Genomic DNA, 24,053 nt, shown 5'->3' on the forward strand with positions numbered 1-24,053 from the left:
ATTGCTGTTGACTTTTCAAGTAGTGCTGTAGGCCTATGCCTTTCTCAGTTTTTGTGAGCACATTAAGGGTGATTATTTTTGGCAAAAAAGTAGAGTATAGCCAGCTAAATATAATTGCGATTTTGCAGGGGCCAGGAAGCATGAAGGATGGTTGAAAGACTGCTATACACAATTAAATGTAAACAGTTTTTCAAGCAGAAAATTTGAAGACTAAACACATTTACCTTCCAATATGCTTACCAAGTTTCCTACTGTAAGCACATTATTGAAATGGTCCGTCATTGGATAGTGCTCCATGGCCATGAAAAGAGTATTTAAGACAATACAGATGGTGATGGCCAGGTCAACAAATGGGTCCATCACAACCAGGTTGACAACATGTTTCACTTTTAACCAATATGGAGAACAGTCCCAGATTAAGAATATGTTGGAAAATTTATACCAACAGGGTGGGCATTTCTGCCTGGATTCTTCAAGTTCTAGATTAAGAAAAAAAAAAAAAAGAACCACCAAAAGGTATACTTTATACACACACATTTATTTCATATCCACTAAACTTATTTTCAGTAATCAACACATTTTTGTTACAGAGACAACCTTTTTTGTACTTGTTAAAAAAATTACAGTTTACTCTAAACCTCCCAAGGATATTTCATCAGACACACACATAGAGCCCAGGTAACAATGGGTAGTTTTTTGTCTTATGCACTGACATTGTGGCTCAGCACTTGGCCTCAAGTTAAATGAGTGGTCTTTCATGTGACGTCTCAATGGGAACATGGTTTAGGGTGGTGTAGATATTGTGTGTGCAACCCTATGTGAATGACTCTACATTGTCAACCTCAGACTATGAGAGCTAGAATAGGGATTGATGTGACCCAAGAATCATCTTTTTAGCTTGTTTTTATTTTGTGAAAATGACCTGCTCTTCCTCTACAATCTTGAGAGTACTTAGGATGAGGCTGAAAAGGGCTGTACTGCTGAAGTCTTAAACTAATGGAACAAAAAGAGGGTCACTATGACTAATGAGATTAGAAACCCCTAACAGAAATGCTTTGTTCTGCATTTTCAAAGAGTTGCTACACAGTTAGGAAAACATTCTTAGTCCCAATATCACTCATTTTAAAATAAATTGTTAAGGCTTCTAGAATATCTGAGTAGATATAAGAAATAACAGCTCTTGAATTAGACTGTCTTTTCATTAGAATGCACTATTCCCAACTCACAAATATATTTGTTTGAAATGAGACAATATAAGTTTGGTGAAAATAATTGAAACGAAAATAGAATTTGTTACCAACCTTCTACTGTATTTGTTAGAATGCTGGCTATACTCATTGCTCGTTGCCTTTGGGAAGGATCTTCTAGAAAGTCCATGGAAACGTGGAAAGAACTTGACCTTCTCTTTCTCATTTCAGTTTCAGTGGTTGTTCCCTGTAAAAAAAAATGCTAATGCATTAAACAATTAATTTGAGCAATATGACAAGCAAACAACCAAATGGTGACACAGTGAATTTCATGAAACACATGCATCATGCACTTTCATATTCAATTGGTGATGGCAGATATTTCTGACTTATTGTATCATTAGCCTGGAATGTTCAAACTGTTAACCATTTAGTCATACAGCAAAAACCAAGATGTTAACTTCCTGATTTCATAATTTTATAAAATACAAAATAATTTTAATATAGTTGATAAAACTCTTAAGAGATATATTTAACAGTTATTACCCTTATTTCTGAACTAATAGTAAAAGCCTAGTAACTTAAAAGTCCTACAAGTGATCAAGGCACTTGATTTTTGAGAAGGTAGCTATTTAATTTTAAGGAAGTATAAATGATTGCAACACACTTAGCTGCCATCTTATTTTCTGGACACAAGATGTAGATGGTCATTGACAACACAAACTCTATGTTAAAAAGAACACACACATGCTGCATGGACAACAGTTTCATCCAGGGTACCAAAGCAATAAGTCATCTAATTCTGACTTAGTCATGCCTCCTCATGCTGATATATTTCCAAGTGAGTAAACAGTCTAAGAAGAGGCAGCATCTGTTTAGAAATTCCTCATCTGAGTATACATCCACAAACACATAACATACCTTTGTACACAGACAATTATTTTATCTGTCTGTATTAATAATGTATTTGTGTCTCTTCATTTAATTTTGAGAAGACCTATATCAGCATTTTTTAGTAAGAAAAATATGAGTACTAGGAGTATTAAGGTAACAATGAAGCTATCTACTTAAGCAGTGTTTTTGAAAATCTAAACTAAAGCAGAGATCTTGAAGAATCCATTGGAAAGATTTATTACATACCCTTGACACTTAAACATAGAATCATTCATTTACTTTCATACCAGAGCCTTGGAGAATGTCCTGCTATCTAAATTCAGTGTGGGTATATAGCAAATCCTCCAACTGGAGGCAGTAATTATTGTGTCTAATCAATCCTTAGCACTTTTAATAAGTAAATGCATTCAGGTTTGTGCAGGAGACTGCTAAGGTTTTAAGTTTTAGTTGGTTAGTCTATTAAAGATATTACAAGATGCAGGTGCATTCACAGCGTGACCAACCAGGAATCATTCTCAAGGTTGCCGTTCTGTAGAAACACTGGCTGGTGCAGCAATAGTGAGCCAGCCATGCCTGAACTATTTAAAACTTCCTTACATTGTCATCAGTAGCTGGCTTATCTATTATCACCTCTGGCAGAAGCTGTCCAACAGGCGATGTAGGAACTGAAGGTCCACCAACCAAGGAAACCACACCATTGCAATCCACAGTGCTGTGCATCTTCCCATTCGCTGGAAACACTGCCAGCATCCGGGATGACCTACTGGTCTGACTCAGGTTGCTGTTGCGTCTCTCTCCGTGTCGTCGGGGCACAAACAAGGAATCTCTACGGCTCTCGTTATCCTCAAAGGTGCTGTGCTCATCATCTGCGAAGTCGTTCTCAGATCCCACATCCTTTGCTCGCCCTCTAAAGCTGAAAAGGCTTGTTCTGCTATTTCGCCTTGGTGAAAATAGGGAGCCACGGATGCTCAACAAAGACTAGAAGTTTGAAAGAGCAAACAAATAAAGTCATATTAATATGGACATTTGAATGTGATTTCATTTTGCAAGATTATGTAGAAGGAGATTTCAGCATTCATAACAGAATATGGTTCATTCCTTTTGATTATCATTCTCATTTTATGTGCATTCACATTAAATTAAATTACCTTGATAAAAGAAAGTTTCTAGCCCTTGGGATTAAAGAATGAGGAGATAGATTGCAACCTTAACATATTGAAACACACACACACACACATACACACACACCCTGAACGACCATTTCTCAAGTTCAAAGGGAAACATCCTTAGAATATGGCAATGGACGTGGTAAACATTCAGTGAACACTGGCACCATGACCTTAACAAGGCCACCTTGGTTTTTATGGATCTTGTCTTTCAAAAACTTTCAACACTCCTCACAATTTACTTTAGTCCACCTTTCTAAAATCACTTTAATTATTATTTCTTTTTCACCTATAAGGCATTGTATTGTTGGAACTTGAAGTTCATACTTCTGAAATTCAGAGTCATGTGCCTTTTGATCAAGTGTACCATGACTAATATTTTCAGAAGCATGCATGGTGACTTATAAAGAAGTTAGGGGGAAAAAAAACATAAAATCATAAAATAACCTAAGGACATTCCTGATCGACTATCCGGAGTTCCACATTTTTTTTTTTCTTAAAAGTGCTGAGGATCAAAAAGATTAAATGTCATTAGTTATAGACAAATATCAGCAGACAGTATCAGAATGACAGTCCAGTTCTCCTGACTGTCAACTTGGTGTTATCTTAACTACACCGAGCTGTAGACTTACATATCTGTGGAGTAAAGTTTTTGCATAACTATGTGAAGAAGGGATGGGTTTAAATATAACACAACAGTGGTTGATTCAGTTGATAAAAATTCCTGAGTCCATTTTCTAATTCTCCCCCTCTCTCCCATGTTTTAATTTTCAACCATGCATCAGTAAACTCAGCAGTGCCATACCTGGTGTGGGGAGGAGTACCTCTTTTCATATGTCAATCGGTTCCCTTCAATGGAGAAGCGAAAACCTTTCCTCCTGATGCTGTCCTCAGATTCAGATTTTTGGAATTCATCCTCATCTTTCTCTTCCCCACCAGACTGCTCTTTCTGTTTTCTTTTCTTCCTCCGATTTCTTCTTTCCTTAGCACTCTTGGAACTCAACTTAGAGGCTTCAGATGAGCTGTCTGAGAGCCTGCCTGCTGCACTGGGCTCTCTGGAATGTTCTGAGGCAGTTGCCGTTGCTGCCTGCTATATTGAAGAGAAATGATTTTAACATAGCACCTGAAGAGACTGTATCTTTCTTTGAAAGGGCTGAAGTATTTGCATGGCTTTTAAAAAATATATTGAACTGACTGAAGATCATCTCACAGAGAAGATTCTCTGCAAGTATAAGAGGAGATTTTTTTTTTCTTTCTACCTAATGAAGGCTTTTGGAGATAATTTAGTTTGCTCCATGGTAACATTTATTATGTCTCTGTTAATGCTCCACAGACCACGTATTCAAAAATATCCAACATGTATCAACAAGAAAATAAATTCATTACTTTTTGGGATTTGATTTACTTTAAAAATTGGTATTTAATTAGTGTTGTTTTCTTTTCTCCGAAAAAGAAACTCGAGTATGGAAGAAAAGCTGATGAGTTTAAGGCAGGGGAATGGGATAAGGACCTGAGGTCCTTTCTCTAGTTATTGAAATTGGATTGTCCAATACCCTCAAAATATTATTAATCCTATTTATGGACAGTTATAAAATCCCTTTCTCACCCATCCACAATATCCAGAAGAATGGGGAAGGGAGAATCAATAGTTTCTGCTGAGCAAGATAAGACATCCAGTTCTCCAAAAACTGTCCCCACCATCTTCAAATCAGTACTGGTTCTTAAGGGGCACATGGGCATGGAATAAAACAATGCTTTTTGATTATAGCTTGTACTGGTACTAAGTTGACACTTTTTTATTATTATCATTGTTCCCAGGGTAACCTCGATAAATTAATTACTCTTGCATATAAATTAATATTTCTGAAACAACTTTCTTCTTTAGTAAAGACAATAAGTTTGTATGCTAAACAGAAAGATGAGAGAGATAGGAGAGGCATTTTATGATTTATCACACTGTGAGGACTAACACTTCACTATAAAAACAAGTAATCCTTTTTAGATGGTCAATCTGTGTAAGATTGGTAACATTCATATGTCTATTGGATGCTGCTGTATCAGAGATCATTATATTATTTGATCACTTCCTTATAAAGGTAATAAAGCAACCACGTTAAAAGCCAACATATTTTTAGTTAAAGAAAAAAGGAGACTATGTTTAAGAACTAGAGGAGCAACTCTTCATATGATAACCAATAATTTCTTGTTCTAAGAAAAGATGATTTCCTCCTAATGCCAGTCTACTCATTGAATAAAAGTCTCTCACTTGAAAATACCCCAAAATAACATTTTCCCTTTACTTTGAGAATCTTAAGATGATTAAAATAGCATGAGAGAGTTCTATTGTGGTTATTATTATACACATCTCAAATAAAATAATTAAACTAAATAAAAGTAAGTGGATCATCAAAATATAGAAATCATTATTAATTCCTCATACAACCACCTGCTCTTAGGTACTCACTTTCTCTTCAATATTACGTAACAATCAGAACGATAAAAGGTCAGTGCCATGAGACAGGGCAGCTTTACCTGAGCTGCCTCCTGTTGCTTTTTAAGCTGTTCAATCATCTGCTGAAATTCGGCCTCTTTCTGTTCTGCTTCTTCCAAGGTGGCCTGATTCTGTTCCTCGTAGGCCATGGCCACCACAGCCAGGATCAAATTTATTAGGTAGAATGAGCCCAAGAAAATGACCAATACAAAAAATATCATGTACGTTTTCCCAGCAGCACGTAATGTCTGCAAACAAAAATATCAGAATTATTTCTCAATATTATTTCACTAAGTGGTGGCTTCAACTTTCAATTTACTCATGTGTCTAGCAAAACTCAGATATAAATAGTAATTATGTTGGTCATAGCACCCTGTACTTTTTTTTTATTGTTTCTTTAACTTCAGCTTCTTCCTTCTCTTCTAGCTTATGCATTCACACTATGATTTCTATGGCAGAATTTTTGTATTCACCAAGAATGAAACAGTCAATAAAATGCCATGGAGTCCTCCATTAACGACCTGAGCCTTTAGGAAAGTCAAGGAACAGACCAAAGTTATCTTTCTATATCTGCTTTTTCATTTTCATTACTTCCCACCTGAGGGATAATATTTGAGGGGGTAGATAGGGCTGAAGGGAGAATGTGCCTTCTGTTTAGGACAATCTGTGTCTGAGAAGGGTAGGGAACAGGTTTTGAGCCAAGAAGAAATGGGAGAGAATTGCAATCCTTGGCATCACTCTGCTCAGTATGTGTTATAATCAATAGGATAGAGGAACTCAAGTCTCGTTTCAAGTTCTGCTCTTTCTACTATATTATCATCCGGTTTTAATTTCATAACTCAATTGGTTTTCTTGTATACTTTTACTTAAATGGAGAGTGTGGCTCTTTAGTTCTCACCAGTTGATAAAGATTTTCCCAGAAGTCCTGAGTCATTAGTCGAAACAAGGACAAAAAAGCCCAACTGAAGGTATCAAAGCTTGTGTAGCCATAATTGGGATTTCTACCAGCTTTCACACACATATATCCCTCTGGACATTGGCTGCAAGTGGGGTAAAAGAAAGTATTACAAGTCGTTCTGCTGCCTTTTTACTCTGATACTATGCTATGATATTGCCTAGTCAGAAAGATTTGGTATTTCAAAATAAAAGTTTGACAAATAAGTAACTAATCTATTTCCCAACTTTTGACTGCATATAGTCTTATTAGCTACTTGGTGTCATCATTAAAATATGGTGCAGCATTTCTAATAATATTTTACAAAATAATTTTTGTTGATAATTTGCATTTTCAACACCTCCATTTCATTTTTACTACTATGGAGTCTCCAGAGTTTATAGCTCAATATACTTATCTAAAAGAACAACATTGTTATTATTATATACTCCTAAAAAAGTAGGAACAGGATTACTCCTCTTTTTGTATGTTTGCTGTTATATACAGTAGGTGTTTAATAGATATTTTTCTCTTTTTTTATACTTTTATTTGAAGTTCAGGGGTACGTACATGTACAGGTTTGTTATATAGGTAAATGTGTGTCATGAGGGTTTGTTGTGTAGATTATTTCATCACTGAGGTATTAAGCCTAGTACCCACTAGTTATTTTTCCTGATCCTCTCCCTCTTCCCACCTTGCACACTCTGGTAGGCCCTAGTGTGTGTTGTTCCCTATATGTGTCCATGTGTTCTCATCATTTAGCTCCCACTTATAAGTGAGGACATGCGGTACTTAGTTTTCTGTTCCTGCAATAGTTTGCTAAGGATAATAGCCTCCAGTTCTATCCATATCCCTGCAAAGGACATGATCTAGTTATTTTTTATGGCTGCATAGTATCCCATGATGTATATGTACCACATTTTCTTTATCCAGCCTATCATTGATGGACATTTAGGTTGATTCCATGTCTTTGCTATTGTGAATAGTGCTGCAATGAACATACGTGTGCATGTGTCTAAAAGTATTACTTCTTGTTTTAGAAAACATAAATCTTACCTAATATTTACATAATCTCATACTTTATCAAAAACCTTACATATAGCAAATTAATGTCAATAAAATTAGTTGGCTGTTATCTTCAGTTTCTATAAAAAGAGAGAAAAGATACACATATGTATGTGTACATACAAATATACACAGATACACACAAATTATTGACTTACCCTGCATCAGAGCTATTTCCACATAGTAGTGCATCTAAAAAACCCTCCAGGAAATAATGATATCCTGTTTGAAAAAAGAAAGTCGTATGATGAACATTTGCATTGTTAAAAACACTCAAATGAGAACAGGAAGGTCAGGTTCTACTTTTAAGTTTATTGAGTAATTTTAAATATATTATTCATTCAAAGGCACAAGTATTTGTCTCTTCTCCCTCTAAATTCTAGATATTCTATTAGATACTTTACAGTGCAAAGTATTTCTTCATTATGAAGAAATGACATTAGATTAGATACAGTGCAAAGATACTTTAGACACTTTACAGTGCAAAGTATTTCTTCATTATGAATGTAAAGTTAGTGATAATGACAGGTACTAACATAATCTTTCAAAAAGGTATTAGCATTTGTTCACCATTCTCACGAAAAAAATTCATTCAGTAAAAATAGACAGGAATGACAGGAATTTCTTTGTTTTTGCAAAACAGCCACATATTTCAAAATAAAAGAATAGTATATTTTCTGGTCCTCTCGCCTATATTTTTAACACTATACATTTTAATAATTAAGTATAACATATTCTCACATTTTGCAGAATATAGGCAACTTATAGTAAAATATGCATAAATCATATCAACAACTGAAATGAAAGCAATTTTAAAAAGTCTTAAATACTAAAGCTAAAATAATGACTATAGGTGAACACTACATTATCTCAAAGATTCCTGTTTCTTGCAAACTCCTTGGCTTCTTGCAATGTCCAGTTCTTCTATAACTTTTTCCTTGGTATTTTCAACTTTCTTTCTACTAAATATTGACATAATTAAGAACTCCCCTCACTGTGCTACCAGTAACCTGTATATACTTGAATTATTCTTAGGATGACACTACTATATTGTAATTATTTATTTACAAATATTCCTCCTAGAAAGTCCCAATCATTAATTATTTCTATATTAGTGTTTGTTTGAGACCGGGTAGCCTTTCTGTAAAGTTTATTGAATGAATAAGTAAATAAAAGACAAAAAGAGAAAAACATGGAATTAAACAATCAATGTTGGATTTTGTAAGAAGATATATTTTCTAGATGCTAAGTTTTCTGAGGAATTTATTCCATACATAGTTCTGTACAGGACACAGAAGCACATAAGGAAAAATATCATTTTTATTTCTAATATTCTGACTTCCTTGAACCTAGACAGGAAAGTTGACATAGTATTTCCTAACTTTCAATTAAAATTAAACAAAGAGAAAGGACTATAATAGTTTCTGGATGAATTTTTGATATCTCATATTTATAAATGAAGTTTTGCCCATTAAATTCAATGATCTAACCTTAATGATCAGCCTTAACCTGAGGAAAATATAATTTTTCAGTTATAATAGTTACCTTTAATTTTAATAAATTTAATTTTCTATTATTTTCAGAAATGAACCATTTTATTTATATTTGCATTTGGTTTAAAATAAGAACCATAGATGTTTAGAGCTGAAAATGACCTCAGATATTATTTTACTTCGAGTATTGGAAAAATGCAGTCCAATAAATTTTCCCTAGAGAGAATAAACCCTAAATAACCCTCATAGTCAGTATTTTGAACTTAGATAAAACAAACAAACAACAGATTTCAGGGAGCTGGTGATTGAAGTGGACCTACTGGCATTCGTATCACCAGCTACTAAGGAGGCTGAGATGGGAAGATGCCACCACACCCAACTCATTAAAAAAAGTATATATATATATATATATATATATGTGTGTATATATTTTTTTTTTGTAGAGAAGGGGTCTCACTATGTTGCCCACACTGGTCTCAAACTCCTGGCCTCAAGTGATCCTCCAGCCTCAGCCTCCCAAAGTGCTAGGATTATAGGTGTGAGCCACTGCACCCAACTAACATTTTCTATTACTGTCTCCTGAAGCTTTATTAACTGTAATTTTCTTCTTTTTAATGTAATACTACTTTTTAAATATAAGAATAAGATTTACTTTTAGGTATCACTTTATTTCCTTAAGGTAATAAAATAATCTATTAAACTATAACACTCTGAAGCCATGCATTACCTCCATTATTTTCCCCAGTGTACTATACAGTTTCTGATACATTAAAGACATTGTGTAATTAATGTATAATGAGTTACATTTGCATAGTATTGTAGAATTCGCAAAGGGCATTCACATATTTTATCTCCTTTCATTATATCAATCACCACAGGAAGAATGTATAGCAACCAAGGATCCTAGGAAAATTCTTTCTAGCTGAATTCTTCAGCCTTCCAAATGATGATAAAATAGAAAGTGGCATTTAGGAGTCAAAACTAGAGTAGTTATGAACAAAGTTGTTAAATGTATGTGGAAGCCATTGATAAGGTGATTAACAAAATTCTTCTTTTAGTTCCAGAAATATAAATAATCTATTATTTAAAATCCAGGGGGTAGAAATACCAAATAAAATATAATTTTAAATATTGTTAAATAGTTTGATTAGGTAATTTTCTAAAAGATCACGTCTTGTTATGTAATCATTTAAAAATATTTTTCATTCCTAGATGGAAGGCACATTAGCAATGAAAAGACCAAATATACATGATAGTAATTCTTTTTTAGAGGGTGTTTTATTTATTTCATTAGTTTTAAATTTTAAATTTTAATTTTTGTGGGTACATGGTAGGTGTTTCTATATATGGGGTACATGAGATGTTTTGATACAGGCCTGCAATGTGTGCTAATCACATCATGTAAAATGGGATATCCAGCCCCTCAAGTATTTATCCTTTGTGTTACAAACAATCCAATTCTACTTTTTAAGGAAATGTACATAACAATAATTCTTACTTGAATCTTGAATATATGACTTCCAGTCAAACTCAAAGACAGTTTCATTTATAAGTGTACCATTATAATTCACAGTTATATTCTTTTCTATACTATGTTCCTCCAAGGAAGCATTGGTGGGAGGCCATTGTATACATTTATTCCTCAGGTTGCCCATGAACAGCTGCAGCCCAATTAGAGCAAATACGCTCAGACAGAACACAGTCAGGATCATTACATCTGAGAGCTTCTTCACAGACTGGATCAGGGCTCCCACAATGGTTTTCAGGCCTGAAAGAAAGAAGTCTATTACTATGAAGACTTAACACGTGTGAAATAATAAAAGCTTCACACAATTTTCTTGAAAACATAGATTTCATTCATAAATCCAAGAATGTTTGCAACGCTAGTGGAGAAGCAACACTTCATTGAAGGGGAAGAACTTATGAAGATAAACTCCAGAAATGTAATGATTTAAACAATGAAATGAAGATTCATATCCCATTATGTCGAGATAGAGTAATGGAAGGTTCATGTTCTTCATGGAGCCTATATTAAGGAAAGGGCCTTGTCTTTTTCCTTTTTGCTACTGAAACTTGTCTCATATTTTCATTAGGGTCAGAGGTCAGTTTTATAACAAAATACCTGAATAAATATTTTAAAATTCCTATTTATAAGTAGGAAAGATTTTGCTGTACAACCGAAAATGGTCTGCAGTATAATTGTGCCTTAAGATAATAAATCCTCCATGCAGACTCACACTATTCTTTATTGTCTTATTCCCTTCTCTTTTGTTAGCAAAAAACTTAGAAGATTTGCATTGTATACACATAGTCATTAATGACTCTAATGAATAAGAAATTACAGATTGGTACATTTAAAAGGGAGCAAATTCTCGATAAAACTAACATGGTGAAAAAAAAAAAAACCCATGATATTTGTAAGTGCAGGTCACCTTGACCTCAAATTACAGTATCTCACATAAGACATTGTTAAACTCCAAGGCTGATAAAGCTTATGTCTAAACAATAAGAATCATTTTCTTTGAAACACCTAGTCTTATGATTCCTGATTTTCTGTAAAACTGAATGTCAAGCAGAGAAGGATGCTGAATCACATGATGGGTCCGTCTCATTATCTAACCTTGCTCTCACCTGGAATGACTGAAATCGTCTTCAATGCTCGGAGAACTCTGAATGTTCTCAATGCCGAGACATTGCCCAGGTCCACAAACTCTGTGACGTACCTGTAATAGGGAGTTCACACACAAACACAAAAACAGGACACAAAGAAAAAGCTGTAGGTACAAAGAGCCTATCCTTTACTCTAATCACTTCTTACCTGGAATTACCGAAATAGTTTTCAAAGCTCTCAAGACTCTGAAAGTGCGAAGAGCTGAAAAATTGCCTAGGTTTACAAATTCTGTTACAAACCTGTAGAATTAAATCAGAATTATTCAAGATTTTAGCAGGATTTATATTACTTGCATGGGTCTTTTATAAAGACCTTCTTGGTGATTTTAAATGATAAATATTATAAGTGGTAAATCAGGAATTAGATTCCATCATTAATCTTTGTTCACATAATTTAAGGCCATTAGCTAAATGTAAACTTCATAAAGTAGACACCCTTGTTGTCACTCTGGAAAGCAATGCAACCAACATCATGTGTAACTTGTAAAAAGAAAGTAAATCTTGGCTATGGTTTAGGGTTTTAGTTAGAAAAAAATATATGAAATCACCCAACAGAAATTTAGGCATGAAAAGGCAGTTTGCCTTACTGCTTTTATATATGAGATAAGATTTTCCTAGTGTAACTTTTAAATAAAAGTTAAGCAAATTAAGAACAATACTTGATGAGGGTCCAATGCTGCGCCTATTGTTACTGCCATTTTGTTCTTAAGAAATAGAAGTCCTGTAGGCCTTCTTTTGAGCTGTGACCAGAGAGCCTAGCAAAGAATTGGCTCATCCTGATCAGATAGGAAATTAAGACCAGACATTCGGAGTCCTGAGTGTATCAGTGCCACCTCTCCTGCTCCTATCCACTACATCACAACTGTTAGAGGCCAAAAAATCAGCTCCTGAAGGAAGGATGAGGGTAAGTGTTGTTGGGCTGCCTCCTTCTACACTCTACTTTCACTTAGTCTGGAATGGTTTTCTATTATTTTTCTGGGTCTCTTCCTGAGGAAGTTTGCCACTAGAAAAAAAAGCATTGGGGTGCATAAACTGTGCATATTACTGAGTGGATATGAATAGGAGATAAGGATAAGGAAGTTTATGTTCAGACTAAAGAGATGAAGAGAGCCATAAAAGGAAAGAAGAAAAGAAGAAAGAAAAGGGGTCAGGAGAGAAACAGAAAGAGGCAGAGAGAATGTATTCCTCTACAGGTCTTAGAAATCAGTAATTTAATATATTAAAAACATAATATTTCAAGTATCTTCTTTCTTCTCTTAGTTTGATTTGTCAGATCGTTTTGATGCTAGTAGATACTTACTTTCAATTATTTTACCAAACCAATAAAAGAAGCTGTGTGTAATATCAGCAAGGTCATTGCAAATTTGTGTAGCCAATAGAACTGTTTTGTGGCTGTAATTTTTAAAGTTATTTTCACAGATGTATTACAAATATGCTTGTGTTTTGACATTAGATTGTGTGTGTTCATATGTGTGTGTGTTTGTGCATGTGTGTGTGGAAGAGTGGCATATGTGAAATTTTCTGACTGATGCTACGTGTGAAAATTGTAGTTTTCAACTACTGCAAAGCCTTCATGCTATAGTGAAATTCCACTTAGACCTTTGTTGTGCTAAATTGAAATCCAGAGTTTGAATGTATAAATCACACCAAAATATTCTACAGGTAAAGCAAACCTATTCTTAAAAGCATAAGCACTGATGGAAAACCAAACTATGTTCTCTCTTAAAGTTTCAAAAAAGGCACTTACGCAAATGTAATGACAGTGAAATCGAGCCAGTTCCATGGATCCCGAAGGAAAGTAAAATCTTCTAAACAGAATCCCCTTGCAATAATTTTTATAAGTGATTCAAAAGTATATATTCCTGTGAAGGTGTATCTGAAAACAAGCATCCAAAAAATTTGATAAAGTAACAGTGTTTTTTCATAGCATACCAATTTCTTATCACTCCATCAGTGGAATAGATAAATACTAAAAAAGAAAACTAAGCAGATGGATTTTAATTTCATACAAATGAAACGTAGCCCTAAATTTAAATTCAGCTTCCTAACACAAAGAGTTGTTTCGTAAAGTGTCTTAAGAGTAGTGTGAGAAATACAAGGTATATGAAATCTATTTAGCCATTGTCTGAAATGTCTTGGTATTTATGTAAATATAGTCTCCTGAGAAATATTTAGTATGTTTACATGATGGAATAGCCAATCAATAATATTGCAGAAGCATGAAATGATTTTCTTTTAGGGAAAAAAATCTCAAGTTTAATAGTGTTCTAAGAATGAGAGGAAACTGACAAATTAGCACGTGTTTTTTTTTTTCTACAAGATAATTTAACTTGCTTGGAACAAGGACTTCTTTAAAATCAAAGTAAATACTTCTAGGGTTATAAGAAGTAAAAATTTAATTTAGAATAAAATTCTTCTGATAATTCAGAAACTTAGGTGTTTCCAAAGTTTAAATCTTCTACTCAGAAATTGGGGTGTGAGAGTGGCATAAAATCACAAGAAAACTAGGGCGACTGAAAACCTGTGGGGCCTCCCATATTAGCTTCAATACTTTAGAATTTTTTTGTATATAAAATTTATTATTTTCTTCAAGATGTCATGTTTCTTATTGGTTTCAGCCTGGAAGTGTCTAGGAAAGGAGACACTCTTGGAAATAGGTTGGTGCAAATGTTGGTGGACACTCTTGGAAATAGGTTGGTGCAAACATTAGCTTCAATTGAAGGTAATGGCAAAAACCACAATTATGTTTACACCAACCTAATACTTCTGTAGTTGCTATGGGTCAGCAGCTGTATAGTAACAGGCATTACAAATAGGAAGTGTGGGCAGGTGAGCAGCTATGGTTAGAGTAGCCCAACTTCAGTTATCACAAATCTGGCCTCTGTGCTTCGAAGGTATCCCCAGAACAGAGAGATCATCAATATAGTTAGTAATGCTTCTGGTTTCTGAAAGCTCTACAAAAAGTTCCACTTCTGTTAGTTTAGTCTTCAGTCTACTGAATTTTCAAGTTCTACAACCCTGAAACTTTGGATTATTTTTCAATTTGTTGGTGACCACGCTTGGAACTATATTGGCCTGACATGAAGTGAATGTGCCTGATGGAAATGAAAACTTTGCGAGGTTCAATGTTGTCTTCACATGGCATTTGTAACTAACCCTTTTTGATTCTTGATTCAATGTATTTATCTGGAATTTAACTGGAACCAATGTCTACCATATTGGCTCTTTTCTGCAATTGCTTTGACCACATTTGGTTTGGCTACTGTAGATTTTAAAGAAAAAGGGGTAAATGTCCAAGAGTGGTGGTCTTCAGGTGAACACCAGGTACAGGCAAAAGAGAGTGATAATCAGTATAACGCCAGCAGGCCTGAGGGCCAATGAGCATTGTCCTCTTGCTGCGTAATTTTGTCTAGGAATGACTTTAATAAAATGCTCTTCAGTTTTATTTTAAGACTACATTAAGACACAGTTTCAAAATCCCAAATGTATATATGTTATTAAAAATATAAGTTGAACTTACTCTACATTCTTTGTCCAATCAGGAGGGTTACTCATTGTCATAAACACACAGTTTGTCAAAATAGTGCACATAATTAGCATGCTGAATAATGTAGGTTATTGTTAAGGAACACACAAAAGAAAATCAAAATCCAAGTGTTATATTACAAAAAGCTAACATTGAAAAGCCCAAACTGCAGCTTAGCCAAAATTCAGGGATAAATGCATTGTGGGCAAGTCTTCTAATCTCCTTACATTTCAATTTCTTCATGTGTAAAATGTGGGTAATAATATCACCTTCACTGAGTATTTGTATAGATTAAATGAGGTAATGTATATGAAAGCATTATATCAGTATAAGGTGTTGTTTTTACAACTATTATTAAATCAATATATTCACCTCCCAGAGAACTTCAGTGGGAAGACTATTTTTGTGCTACCTGGAGTTGCACAGTTTTTCAGCAGAAAGTATTGACTTGAGCTCATTCAGGTGAATAAACTAGTAAATTGTTGAGGAAGGCCACTTATCTGCAATATTGTAATTTCTTAAACACATCTTATCCAACACAGTTCAACGCATGAAAACAATTTGTAGTCAAAGTACAGCACGATGCTAATTGTTGGGTTGCTCTATTTTGACTGAGTTTATACAAGTGCAGCAGGATTCGATAACATTAAAAGTGAATATTCTTGAAGGTTGACACTTAACATGATGGGAATGTAATTAAAATTCAACATAGCAAAGTGATGTTGGCCAAGAGACTCAACCTCTCTGTGCCATTGCCTTGTATCTCTTCCTACTTCTCTACAATGGAGCTAATAATGTACTCATTTTGTAATGTAACCATTTCTACATGCAGATTAAATGAGTTAATGTATTGGAAATGCTTGGAACAGTCACGGTACGTAAGTAAATATACTCTAAGTGGTAGCTAAAACAAATGAACAGACATAACAGAATTATAAAACTGAAAGGGACCCTAAAAATTAGTTTATCACTATATTTTAAAAATCAGGGAAATAAGGCCTTACTAAGCTCTAGAGGAATCAGATAAAGGGTCCAGGACTAGAATATAAGTTTCCTACATTAAGATCCAATATTCTTTCCACTATAGTTTACTGCCAAAACAAAAATTTTCCATAATTGAAAAAGAAAGTTTTCATCAAATGACCACATGATGGCGCTAGGAATACAAACTGGGACAAGGAAACTTCCCTAAGTATAAAAACCCTATCATATGATTTTTATGTTTCAAATCTTTTAATTTTAGTAATAGCATATTTATACCACTAAAGAAATTTCTTGCTGTCATATTAAAATTAGAATGGCCGTTCAAATTTTAGAATCCTTTAAAAAAAAGTATGAGCTTATGATAATTATAATGGTATTTTAATATCTATTATTGTCAAAGCTATCAAACAAGATACAATCAGAAGTGAATTGTTTTCCTAAATTGATTAACAAATGAATTTAGTCGTGGAGTCCTTTTTAACACCAATGGGAATCATGAAACCAAATCCCTTAAGACCATTTGGAAATATATGCCAACTTCTCTCATTAACTTCCGGAGTCTTTACTAAGCAAACAGTTTTGCATGGCAGCATCATAACTCATGACTTGAATTTGAAATTCAGCCAATATTCCAGTACTTCCTTCACAAAAATCATCAGGAAATTTCAAGAATTAACTAAGTACTGGCCAAAGACTCCTGACATTCTCTGACAGAAAATATACTTAAAGGTTTATTCTAAGATACACTGAAGTGTTTTATATCATAACTATGGATAAACTTGAGTCTGGAAGTAGATTTTTCTGTTATCATATCATTGCTCACTGAAAATTCTACACCATCACAAACTTTGTATAAAGATGGTAGAGGTAAACATGGTTATCTTACTTTAGATTTGTAGGATTCAATACATATAAGTGTTTTTAGAAAGATAACAAAAGTACATAAATACATGTTTATATATAATATATAAAATGTTAAAGAGTACATGTTTCAGTAATGTCTATGTGATTAATGAACTTTAAGAATGAGGCTAATATGACAAAGATGCAAAATGAGAGTGATGAAAACTATATAATATGGACATTTCCCAACTTAATTTGATATTTAGCTATAAAGTGCTTACAGATCATGTACAAATAGTTAATATTAATCACTTGAAAAAGGATATGAATGTACCAAAATCTTAATAGCTATTTTCCTAAGAGGATTGAAGGGAGTTAAAATGTACAGGGCAGAGGTGGCACTGAACCGGAAGATGGCCTTCCCTTTATTCAATACTATAAAAGTCTGTAAGACAGGAACACAACATAGAAGTATGAAAGTATAAACCACTTAAACTCTGTTATCTACTTTCTGTTACTTGTCATAATAAATTATTGTAAAGTTAAATGAGAAACCAGCACAATCACAATTTCTAAAGTGCCCCATGAAAACAAACTGTCACTGGATCTCTTCTTAATTAGAGAGGAAATCCAATGATACCACTTACCTTTTACCTAATACTTACCCTCAATTTTATTGTACATAAGACAATTAGCCAAGAGAAGTCATTTATTTTCTCGATATTTTAAGTGTCTGAGTTAAATGAAAGTCTTAAATGGGTGCACATTTCATTTCATTCCAAAAAACTTAAGGCACTACATGCTTTTTATAGTCATTTCAGCTTTCCCAATTCAAATATCTTGAAAATTAATCCTGTGGAACGCAAAATCATTCAACAGAACTGATACTATTTTTGAAATAAAGATTGTTTTTACCATCTATCCTCATAAAATAAACATTATCACTCTCTTCGTAATAGAAAATAAAAACAGCCACCATCAAACCCACTCTTGGGTTAGATGGATGTAATCCAATAATTGATTTCTGGAGGCCAAGATCCCTGGAGAGTACCCGTTGACCAGGAGTGCTAAATTCTGTACTGGGATTTCTGAGTTAGCTGACATATTGAATTCTAATCCCAATTGACTTCCTATCTTATGCAGTGCTTTCTTATCACAGAGGAGAAGCTCCAAGCTCCTGAAGAATCCAGGATCCATGAATGTGAATGAAATTCCTTCCAAAAATTAGACTTATTTGAGATCAATTGGCAGTGGGCAGACAAAACATTAAAGAAGCAACATGTAAGGGTATAAAAAGGGCTCTGACTCAATGTTTTCCAAGGTGCTTACTTATATTTAGACAGAGCCAGGGAGAAAGCCTTTATCTCTGTGAAGAGCATATTTGGGGAAGGAAATTTTAAGCTTCTTGATTTTAAATTCACCCATTCTTCGAAAGCTTTCTTTTCTAAGCCTTAGGATGCATATCTGCACAGATCATGTTATGATACAGCAAGCATAAATGTTATGTTTATTTTCTACTAAGAATCTTTGTATAGTCTTAGCTCATTAACAGATTTCCCCTATACTTGCAGGATTTTCTAAATTCAAGTAAAGCAAACCCACCCTCCCACACCCCTACCTGCTAATGGAGTTGGTTTTTGAAAATTAAGCACTTTCTATCTGGTATGGGTAGAAGTGTCCTAAACTGGCTGTGAAAGTATGGTCCCCCAACCAGTACTGGTTAAGTATAGATATGGAGAGTCCATGTTTAGAAATTTGTAAGGCAATTTGGCCAATTAATGTTGTGTCTGTCTATTCTAATAATAAAAAAGTAGGGGGATGTTGTTGTGGGCCTGTTTTTCATTTCAGTTTTCTAGAAACTAATTTTTACTTCATTTTATAGAAGAATAGAGACCTCACATCCTCAACAGAGTTTGAGAAGCACTGCTCCAAGTCTCACCTCTGCCTGCATTCCCTCTATCATCTTTGAAGGAGTATGAGTCCAGAAAACAGATAGAGCTTTACCACAAAGCGCATTTGAAGGAAGGGAGAATTTCACCTGTGCTTACTAGAAGAACAATCCCCTATGCCAACAATACTTAGCCCTCTTTTTCTCTGATTCATTGAGGGATTCTGTCCCTGAATGACATTGTGAGATCATCGTAAATCTGAACAGACTTGTGCAATGCAAATGCCTTTGCTGTGGGGGAATATGAGCATGTAACGACACAGAAAGGCCCAAAGTGAGCTAGCTCAGGAATAAATATGGTCCACCTTTCAAATGTACTGCATATACTTCCTTTCCCCCCAGATATGCTGAGTAAAATCTGAAAGAAATATTAGGGGCTCAGATGGCCAGTCGCAGTGGCTCACGTCTGTAATCCCAGCACTTTGGGAGGCCAAAGTGGGCACATCACCTGAGGTCAGAAGTTTGAGACCAGCCTGGCCAACATGGTGAAACCCCATCTCTACTAAAAACACACAAAAAAATTAGCTGGGCCTGGTGGTGGGTCCCTGTAATCCCAGTTGCTTGGGAGGCTGAGGCAGGAGAACAGGAGAATCGCTTGAACCCAGGAGGCGGAGGTTGCAGTGAGCCAAGATCGCGCCACTGCACTCCAGCCTGGGTGATGAGAGCAAAACTCCATCTGAAAAAAAGAAAAAGAAATATTAGGGGCACAGGTAGGAGAACCAGTAAAAATATAACACAGAATATATATATTTTAAAATAAGAATCTCTTGATTTCAGATAATATTAAAAGCTAATTTTGAAACAAATAGTAGTGATACAAAGAGATAATGAGAAAGAAATGACAATCCATAGATGGCCTAAATCATGGGCTGGAGTGTGAGGATAATCAAGATGGTACTGTTTGTACCTCCGTGGATAAGGAAAATAACCAGGCTCATCCTAAGGAGACAGGACCATACTTAGAAGAGAACACCTGTGATGCTGGCTCCTTGGCCACTGTTCAGCCCAAACCATGACCAGAGGTAATAAATGACCAAAACAGAAAAGACAGACAAGGAGTGGTAAAGTAAAAGGCAAAGCTAGAGATCTAAAAGAAGGGAGGGGAAATATTTCTGCCCTGAGTACTAAAAAGTAAAAGAGGCAAGATTCAGAAACCAAACACAAAAGGTTCCAAAAAGGAAGTCTGCCTAGAAGTAAAAAGAGCAGAGGATTCTAGACAAAAATCGGGGAAAGGTGGGGACAGAGAGAAATCTGTTAAAGGACACAAAATTACAACTAGATAGGAGGAACACATTCTAGCTCTCCACACCACTGTAGGATGACTACAGTTAAAAATAATTTATTATATAGTTTCAAATAGCTGGAAGGAAGATATTGAATGTTCCCAACACAAAAAATGATAAATGTTTGAGATGACGGATATGCTAATTATTCTGATCTGATCACTATACATCATATGTATTAAAACCACTATATGCTTCATAAATATGTACAATTATTACGTGTCAATTTAAAAAATAAGATAAAAGGAGGTATAAAGGGCTGAAACTAAGTAAGATGAGTTTAATGAAACCAAAGCACTCTCAATGTTGGTATGTGATTCTAAATCTAAAAGTCCTTTGACATAGAGAAAATTAATACTTTGACACAAAAGTTAAAAACAAATGGGCATAATTATCAATTGTTCAAGCCTTAGATGAAAACATTTACTGATTTTACAGTGTATTCCCTTTATTCATTTTAAAAATTTAAAGAATGTGTAGAAGATTATTTGGTAACAAGATTTATATGTGCAATGGAAAATACTTGCAAGTTGAATTTATAAATGGAATTGGTAAGGTTTTTACTGAACAACGGTATTTGTTTTGCTTTAATTTTTCATAAGACATACTGTTGTGCAAGACATCCTTGCTACCCAGGAAGCTAACAATAAGGCCAACATTAAAGGACCATTTTTTCATAGGATTTCTTCTGTGAGAACTCCATTTTTCTCAGATTGAAACATACATGCTTATGTACAAACTTCATAGATGTAGCTTTAAGGTATTGATGGATTTTAAACAGCCTTCCAATAAAGCAACAGTACCCAGACTTGTATAGCAACCCAATATGTATAATTTTAAATATGATAGCACTTTCATGTCAGAGTAAGTTCCATTTAGAATGTCAGTCTTATTATATGTAATTGATCTTATGTTTGTTTATTTCCTCAACTGTCTGTATCTTACCTCCTTGTAATTGCTTACATAGCCAAGAAGCCGATCATTCAGTTTATAAGTGTTAAGAATTAATAAAAGGATACTTGTTTCCAAGGACTCTCAGATACAGCTTTCTCCCAAAAGTGGCATTGATGATATTGAAGGGAGGGAAGAGTCTGAAGGAAATACTGTTTGCTTACAACAAATACTTAAGTAGCTCTAGAGTTTTCAAATATATAAATATTTGCCTTCCCCGCTATACGTATAAGAAAGGGCTCCAAGAGGGAAGAGTTCAAAGACTAGCTAAGATATTGCTGTACCTTAAACTGTATAAACAAATATTGTGTAGCTTTAAGCTAATCAAGATTTATGAACTATTAAATTGGGTGACTTTTTAAAAACTTTTTAAAAGAATGTATTGGTTAGCTTATTATAGTGAAGTATCTTAGCATCCTTTAAATCTAATTAGTTCAACAAAGATTTCATTAATACAACTTATCAGGATAACTTTTATTGCATTAAGTCATTTGAATAAAAAAGAAACAGTTCAAAGTTGGTGGTGGAGGAGAAAAGGTTTATACAGTAGTATCTAGCCCAAAACAAACCCCTTTTTACCACCCAAGGCTCATAGGAACATTGACATGACTGGCTCCACTTACAAGCAGCAAGACTTTGTGGTTTAGTACAATTCAGGCACATCTATGACTATTCTTAATATTTGTCCTTCAGTTCATTTTAGTGCCAAAACAAATGCTTTAATTGCAGTTCTACAAAGAAATAGAACTGTTTGAAATTAATAACATCATTTTAACACGTGGATAATTTTCTGCTTCAAAACAAATGTTGAAGCATGGCATTGTAACTGAGGTAACAACTAGATTTTATATATGAAAAATCACTTTACAGACTTATTTGCAGGAATGTAACATTCATACAATAGGGTTGTTCTAGCTTGTCACTTATGTCTTCATATACAGGTACCAAGTTTATTGGGCATATATACAATAAGTTGGTAATTATGTATGAGCAGGGACCTAGTTTAGGTCCAATTGTTAATTTCAATTGATGGCAATTCAGAATACATGTATTAACTGTTTAGTACAATATTTGCAATGCCCTGTGCTACATTCTAAAGAGAAAACAAAGATACATAGGTTATGACACCAAGACATTTATAAACTAGGAGATGCTCAACTATTTGTTTTAATAGAATATAGAAGAATTGATGAAGGTTACCTTGACCAGCACTTTCCAACAGAAATATAATGTAAGCTACAAATCTGAGCTACAGTTATGATTTTAAATTTCCTGAGAGCCACATTAAAAGAAAAACAAAGCAGGTGAAATTAATTTTAACAGTATTTTCTTTAACCCAACATATCTGAATTATTATCATTTGGGAATGAAATTGATATAAAAAATTTTTGAGATATGTATATTTTTATACTAAGTCTTAGATCTTTGAAATATGGAGTTACACTTACATATTTCAAATACTCAATAGCTACACAAGGCTAATTAATCTCTGCTATATTGGGCAGCACAGACCTAAACTTAAACCATCCATTGTTCAGCAAGCTCATACCTTCTTCAGCAATCCTTGCCATGTAAAAATCATTTCTGGTTTTAAAGAAAAAGCAAGAAGGAAGTTATATAGAAAAATTGGTAATAACCCTGGTAATTAACAGTTTAATAATCTGGGAAGCAACATTATGAAAATATAAGTATGATTTGTTTTATCTTATGTTAAGGGTGCAAACTCTGAAATTAGATTTCTGATTCAAAAGCTAACTTTGCTGCCTTCCAGCAGTGTGATCCGGAACAGGTTTCTTAACTTTCTGTGACTCAGTTATCTCACTTGAAAACAGAATAAATGTACTTAGCTCATAGAGGTAATGTGATTCCAATTTAGCTGGTCAGATTTTGATACCTAGTTTTTATACTTTAAATAAGTAATCCAGATGATTCTGTCATAGCAGGGCTGTTAATATGTTTGTTACCTAATGGTTGTAAAAAATCACAAACCATTGGCCAAATTATCAATGATTATGTTGTACATGTGGATTGAAATCTTGCCCCTTGATCTAACTGAATAGTTACTAAGAAAATAATTATGTTATAATGATTTGGTAGAAATTGCTATTTATGAAGCTATATTTGTTATTATCTAGTAATCTTTTCTTGTTTCTGGGCTTATAGAAAGTGATTTGTTTACAATTTTTTCCCAGGATGGACATTGAATTTAACAAGCCATGGTTTTCCAGTTTCTTTTTCTCATTTAAATATAGCCATTACCTTAACATTTATTTCAATCTAGGGGCCATATTCTTCAAAGTACATAGTTTAAACATAAGCTGTAACTTTGTGTTTCATCTAAACATTATTGAAACATTGCCAAATAACAGGACTGACTCCAAATTTATTGCACTTTCCTACTCTTAAAGTAAATCTACTGGCAAAAACAAGAAATAACACAGGAAGGTGAGCTATGATGATGAACAATACACAAAATGTAGAATATACTACTGGTTGGTTAAATTTATCCTTTAGCTTCAAAGTTTGAAACAGGCAATTTCCAACTTGTACATGAGCTGTGCTCCAGAAATGCATTTGGAAGTCAATTGTTTGGAAATGTGAACATATATTCTCACAGA

General features: G+C 34.2%; 1 protein-coding gene across 18 annotated transcripts in view; it reads right to left on the reverse strand.

Annotated features, from left to right (window-relative positions):
• Positions 1–24,053, reverse strand: part of SCN1A (sodium voltage-gated channel alpha subunit 1) — a 164,521-nt gene that overhangs the window by 56,350 nt on the left and 84,118 nt on the right. For 6 of the 18 annotated variants that reach the window (NR_148667.2, NM_001353949.2, NM_001353950.2 and 3 more), the window contains 12 exons: positions 17,580–17,698; positions 15,421–15,510; positions 13,648–13,776; positions 11,862–11,953; positions 10,729–10,998; positions 7,896–7,959; positions 6,637–6,778; positions 5,780–5,986; positions 4,053–4,337; positions 2,712–3,059; positions 1,302–1,434; positions 241–479 (listed from right to left, as the gene is read on the reverse strand). Coding sequence is in view for 16 of the 18 variants with exons in the window: in NM_001353949.2 (NP_001340878.1) it covers positions 241–479; positions 1,302–1,434; positions 2,712–3,059; positions 4,053–4,337; positions 5,780–5,986; positions 6,637–6,778; positions 7,896–7,959; positions 10,729–10,998; positions 11,862–11,953; positions 13,648–13,776; positions 15,421–15,510; positions 17,580–17,698 (2,118 nt within the window). In the remaining 2 variants the exon portion in view is untranslated. Of the gene's footprint in view, positions 1–224; positions 480–1,301; positions 1,435–2,678; positions 3,060–4,052; positions 4,338–5,779; positions 5,987–6,636; positions 6,779–7,895; positions 7,960–10,728; positions 10,999–11,861; positions 11,954–13,647; positions 13,777–15,420; positions 15,511–17,579; positions 17,699–24,053 lie in introns of all 18 variants that reach the window. The other 12 variants (NM_001202435.3, NM_001353948.2, NM_001165963.4 and 9 more) reach the window with 6 other exon arrangements.

This window comes from Homo sapiens, chromosome 2, assembly GCF_000001405.40.
Source record: "Homo sapiens chromosome 2, GRCh38.p14 Primary Assembly".
NCBI classification, from domain to species: Eukaryota; Metazoa; Chordata; class Mammalia; order Primates; family Hominidae; genus Homo; species Homo sapiens.